Source organism: Homo sapiens, chromosome 6 (genome assembly GCF_000001405.40).
Source record: "Homo sapiens chromosome 6, GRCh38.p14 Primary Assembly".
Taxonomy (NCBI): domain Eukaryota; kingdom Metazoa; phylum Chordata; class Mammalia; order Primates; family Hominidae; genus Homo; species Homo sapiens.
Window position 1 is genome coordinate 41039643 of NC_000006.12, and position 5631 is coordinate 41045273.

Consider the following 5631-nt stretch of genomic DNA (forward strand, 5'->3'; position numbering starts at 1 on the left):
TCTGTAGGTCTAGTATGGGGCCTGAGATTCTGCAGCTCAAAGAAGCTCCCAGCTGATGCCAATGCAACCGGTCCAAGGAGCTTAGAGAGCATCTAGTTCCACCCGCTCCCCACACAGAGAAGACAGTGGAGCCACTGAGACGGTTAATGACTCACCAGTTGCTGGTGGACCTGAGATGTACCCATATTTTTCCTTACACAAGGTGCTTTCTACTTCCCCCACCCAAAGTTGGCAGAGACACTGCCGGTTGGGAGACAACTGAACTTTGGGGCCATTTGCCATTCTGAGTTCTTAAAACTCTGCCTAGGAGCGGTGGCACCACAAGAATGAAAACTCCTTGTGGAACTTTTCCCATGTTTTCGGCTGTCTCCTCAGCTCCTGGTACAGCCTGATAGATAGAAGGTGTTCAATAAACATGTCTTGAATGAATGAGTGAAGCAGTTGAGAGGGAAAAGGATGCATTTTGGCTCCAACTGGCCAACACTGAGCCCAGGTGAGCCACACGTTGGGTATGTAATATTGGGCAAGCTACTTAACTCCTCTGAACCTCAATTCCCTTGTCTGTCAAATGCAGTTAAGAATATCTACCTTGTGTGAGATAATAATTGTCATTATTGAGCTAATAAATGTCAAATGCCCACCACAGAATGGGTGGTCAATAGATGGTAACCGTTGTCACCAGGGTCTGGCCTCCTGCAGTTGAGGAGGCATGGTGAACGCCCCCCCAGGCCCCTAGTTATCATCTCCCATAGAAAATAAGTAACTTCCTCTGCTTTTGTCTCAGTTAATAATTCTCTAGCCTCTTGTCTCTGACTGCAATGCCCTCCCCTCTGCTTCCTTCCCTGGTGGAGGTGAGAGGGTGGAATAAACCTCCCAGGGGAGCCCAGTACCCCAAAGTGCAGAGATGGTAGAGAGCGGGCAACCTGGGAAGCAGACCTCATGCCTAAAGACAAGCCAGGAAGGGGTGCTCAGAACTTTGATAGGGAATGAAAGGAGTGGGGTAGGGGTGTTTGTCTTTGTTGAACAAAGCTCTGTCTGAGTCACACAGGAGGCTGGACTTTGCCAACAGACAGGGACACTCTCCCCTACCCCTCTTTAGGGCGGCTGGGAGGCAGGACTTTCTGCCAGGAAGCGCCAGGTCACTCCTCCTTGACTCCCCACCCACCTCCACTTGTCAGCTGCCTTCTCCTCTGAGTCATAAAGTCCTAGGGGTTTGTGAAAGATCTGTCAAGCTAGGGTTCTAAGCCAGGAAGGTCATGCCAACCAGGAGGCTATAACCAGGGGCTGTGTTCATGGATTATGAACTCACTTCCCAAGCTAGTTCTTGCCACTCTTGGGGACAATCCCAATTATAAGGAGGCTCTGAAGAAATGTGAAGGCTCCTACCACTCACTCCCATGGCCACAGAGCTGGTTCATGGGATGCAAAGACCACAGGCATCAACAGCATTATAACTGGGGGCTGAGCTGTCACAGGAGGGCCAGTGTCAAACCCTCACCACAAGCCCTCAAACATTCCATCAAGGGGTAGCCTCCAGAGGCCAGGCACCAAGGAGGGTCTGGCAGACCAGAGGGGCTCCTCCTGAGAGGAACTCTTTGGGGCCATGAAACAGCAACTTGGACTTCCCAGCCAGTGTCACCACCCTTCTCATCTGAGAAAGGCAGATCAGCAGGGAGCACCACTCCACCCTCCTCCCAGCCCCACCCTCCTCCCAGCCCCACCCTCCTCTGCCTTCCACACATCATATGTCATCAGGCCCCCCGCCTGGGAGGTGTGCTGCCAGAGGTAAGGGGAGCACAGGCCTAGGAACCAGGAGGCACTGGGAGAGGCAGGTGTCAGGAGAAAAGAGGATGGGGGCAGGGAGGGGCAGGGAGGGGGCCTCCACCACTGGACAGAAATGTAGAAAAACAGGAAGGCAGAAGATGAGCAAACGGACAGTCAGGAGCACAGAAAGACAAGTAGAAATATGCACAGGTGGGCATGCTGCTCAGCTCTGTCCCAGAACCTCCAGGACCAGTGTCCCTGACCCTTGACAGAAAAGGATGGATTAGGGCCAGGCACAGTGGCTCATGCCTGTAATCCCAGCACTTTGGGAGGCCAAGGCGGGTGGATCACCTGAGGTCAGGAGTTCGAGACCAGCCTGACCAACATGGCAAAACCCCATCTCTACTAAAAATACAAAATTAGCCGGGCATGGTGGCGCACGCCTGTAATCCCAGCTACTAGGGAGGCTGAGACAGGAGAATCACTTGAACTAGGGAGGCAGAGGTTGCAGTGAGCCGAGATTGCACCACTGCACTCCAGCCTGGACAACAAGAGTGAAACTCTGTATGAAAAGAAAAAAAAAAAAAGGATGGATTAGATAGTCAGTCCAGAATACTGAAAATAATCAGATTGTTTTCTCTCCTTCAAATCTGGTTAATCATGGGGGGAGGCTGAAATATCATGAACAAATGAGAAGAATGATATTTGTGGGGCCTTGGTGGGGCCTTGGCTGGAGGAGGGTCTGTACATTGTCCCACATGCAAATGACATGCAAAGCAACATGCCACCTTGGCAGCTTTTTAATCAAAGACCAGGCAGTTGTTTCCTTGAAAAGTCAGGCCACAAGAAACCTGGATGCTTGTGCTTACATCCTGACACTCTGGGAATGGAAAGATGGAGCAGGAAGCTCATACCCCATGGCTCCAGGGGTAGAAGAGAGCTAAAAGTTCAGAAAAAGGAATCCACGGTGTCAACAGGCCAAGTTTGAATTTGGGCAGGAGATCAGCCTGGGTGGGCCCCATGAGTGTGCCAGTCTGATATGGTGAGATAAGCCTGGGACAGATGTGCTGCCGCATTCGTGACTAGAAAAGAGTCCCCAGGAATTTCTGGCTCCTGCCTTCAGATTGTGAACTTTCCAGGTTGGTAGATCAGCTTAGGTAGAACAGTTCTCGGTGAGGGCCAGCTACATACCTGGCTAAGCGCTGCCCACTGCAGAAAAGCTCATCACCCGGGACCTGATCTCCAGGACTCAGAAGCACTTGGAGGAAGGCCTATTCACTTAGAAGCAGTTACCAGTGCTGGGCAGTGTCCTCCAAGTGCCAGAGGAGTGCTGTGGAGAAAAGAAGTCCATGGAAGCCAGGAGATGGGCAAGGTGTGGCCTGGGGTTGGAGAGAGCTCAGAGGTACAGGACTGGAGCTGGGCCAGGGAGAGAGGAAGGACCTCCGTGAGTAGACCTTCTCTGAGGGGCTCAGGCCAGGAAATGAGTCAGGTTAGGAGGCAGAGACAGACGAGGAGCCGCAGGGGAAGGCTCATCACTAGCATGTTCTCTGCCTCCCCAGATTTTGCCTCTTCAAGGTGAATGCGGCTTCAAGGGGCTATCTTTGTGCTCCTGCCCCACCTGGGGCCCATCCTGGTCTGGCTGTTCACTCGTGATCACATGTCTGGTTGGTGTGAGGGCCCGAGGATGCTGTCCTGGTGCCCATTCTACAAAGTCTTATTGCTTGTACAGACAGCCATCTACTCTGTCGTGGGGTGAGTACTTGTTTCTCACACATGGCCCTGGTACCCAATGGGGTGGGAACAAGTCCTCTATATCTGAATTACTCCCATATATTGGCCTCCAAAGGTAGGCGCTTTGTCTTGCCTCTCACCACCATAGTGGGTCCTCCAGAAAGTAAGAAACCCTCTATGCCTGCCTGGGGTTCCAGTTAGCCCTTCTTCCACCCTCTCTAAGTCTCCCCAGCCCCTCCTCCACCTCACCATGCCCAGCTCCTCCCACCAACTCCCTCCCTGGCCCTTACATGATGCCTAAACCCATCTGCCCCCATTTCAGCCCACAAGGGTATCCAAGAGTCCTTATGCCAGAGAGCCTCCTCCATTTGCCACGGAACCTCCTCCCACTGAATGTTTTTGCCACCATGTCTCCACAGCTATGCCTCCTACCTGGTGTGGAAGGACCTGGGAGGGGGCTTGGGGTGGCCCCTGGCCCTGCCTCTTGGCCTCTATGCTGTTCAGCTCACCATCAGCTGGACTGTCCTGGTTCTCTTTTTCACAGTCCACAACCCTGGTCTGGTAAGGCACACAGTGCTCAGTAGCAGAAGTAATGTGGGAGAGGGTGAAACCACCTGGCTCCAGAAGCACATAATTCAGCAGAGCAATTGAGTGCAGGCAGGTAATGGGTGGGCAGACTTCTCTGCACTCCCATGGTGTGCACAGAGCCCCAGGGACTGAGCTCGTTGCTGGGCTGGGTACTGCAGAAAGGTGGAGGTGCTGGTTCTCGGGCAGCCAGCTGACCCCCGGCCTCTATGCCCAGGCCCTGCTGCACCTGCTGCTGCTGTATGGGCTGGTGGTGAGCACAGCACTGATCTGGCATCCCATCAACAAACTGGCTGCCCTGTTACTGCTGCCCTACCTAGCCTGGCTCACCGTGACTTCAGCCCTCACCTACCACCTGTGGAGGGACAGCCTTTGTCCAGTGCACCAGCCTCAGCCCACGGAGAAGAGTGACTGAGGCCCTAGGGCATGGGAGAGGAGGGACGCCCAGGGTGGGGAGGAAGAGTCTGCAAGCAGGGCTGTGGAGTTAGGGTTCACCCCAATGGGACCACCCTCCTGGGTCCCCTGGTGCCGTTTTTCCTTAGAAATCAGAGAAATGGGAAAGGGGGGGAAACTGATTTTACACTTAAATAATAAAATCCTATTAGTAACTCTGAAGGTATGATGTGAAGTGTGTATTTGAATGCATAATATGATGACTAGGGCGGCAGAGTGGGATAGAAGCTTCTGGACCTCTGTGTGAGTGTGTGCGCGTGAATGAATGTGTGAAGGCCCATGGGGGAGGGGTGGGCACACCAGCTCGCCTCCATTCACATGCCTCCCCACCTGGCATAAAGATTTAGCACTCAGATGTTTAATTACCTGAAAAACAAAAGGCTTTTTAAAAGTGACAAAAAAGCCAAAACAGAAAAATACACCTTAAAAAAGGGTACTAGGGGGCCAGGAGTGGTGGCTCACACCTGTAATCCCAGCACTTTGGGAGGCCAAGGCGGGTGGATCATGAGGTCAGGAGTTCGAGACCAGCCTGGCCAACATGGTGAAACCCTGCCTCCAAAAATACAAACATTAGCTGGGTGCAGTGGTGAGTACCTGTAGTCCTAGCTACTCAGGAAGCTGAGGCAGGAGAATCACTTGAACCCGGGGAAGAGGAGGTTGCAGTGAGCCGAGATCATGCCACTGCACTCCAGCCTGGGTGACAGAGTGAGACTCCATCTCAAAAAAAAAGGGGGGGATACTAATTATACATGTTAAGGTTATATAGTATATATTATACATTAATTTATATATCAGATTTATGATGCAATATCTAGTTATAACATATACTATGGTTGTATGATATATATGTTATACATCTCTGATAAATAAGATTATAGACCTTCTTTTTTGCTTTCATACATTCCTATGCTTTCCTTATTTTACATCAATTAATTACTATTAGAATAAGGCAAAGAAGATTGAAAAAAAGAGATTAAGCCTCAGGGTGCTGACAGGTGAATCCATAGGAGCTTCTTGTTCAGCCTTCTATCTTGCTTCTCTTTTTCTAAACCTTCTTAGTGGCTTTTTAATTTTTGACTCCTCCCTTCTCTGATTTTC

At 51.4% G+C, this 5631-nt stretch overlaps 1 protein-coding gene across 4 annotated transcripts; it reads left to right on the forward strand.

Annotated features, from left to right (window-relative positions):
• The first annotated feature begins 1743 nt into the window (after positions 1-1743).
• On the forward strand, positions 1744-4695 carry TSPO2 (translocator protein 2). Of its 4 annotated transcripts, none has more exons than XM_011514396.3 (4): positions 1744-1785; positions 3324-3516; positions 3915-4056; positions 4298-4695. In XM_011514396.3, the coding sequence occupies exons 2-4, from the start codon at positions 3344-3346 to the stop codon at positions 4493-4495; spliced, it is 513 nt and encodes a 170-aa protein (XP_011512698.1). In that variant the 5' UTR covers positions 1744-1785; positions 3324-3343; the 3' UTR covers positions 4496-4695. The 4 variants fall into 4 exon arrangements, with proteins under 4 accessions (XP_011512698.1, NP_001010873.1, XP_011512699.1 ...); NM_001010873.3 differs by lacking the exon at positions 1744-1785 and adding an exon at positions 2825-3136; XM_011514397.3 differs by lacking the exon at positions 1744-1785 and adding an exon at positions 2825-2903.
• Positions 4696-5631: the final 936 nt, after the last annotated feature.

Excerpts from the sequence above, each read along its gene's own strand:
- TSPO2 (XM_011514396.3), top strand. The coding sequence starts at position 3,344 with ATGCGGCTTCAAGGGGCTATCTTTGTGCTCCTGCCCCACCTGGGGCCC. Across the intron at positions 3,517-3,914 it reads GCCATCTACTCTGTCGTGGG|CTATGCCTCCTACCTGGTGT; the intron begins GTGAGTACTTGT and ends ATGTCTCCACAG. Across the intron at positions 4,057-4,297 it reads CAGTCCACAACCCTGGTCTG|GCCCTGCTGCACCTGCTGCT; the intron begins GTAAGGCACACA and ends CTCTATGCCCAG.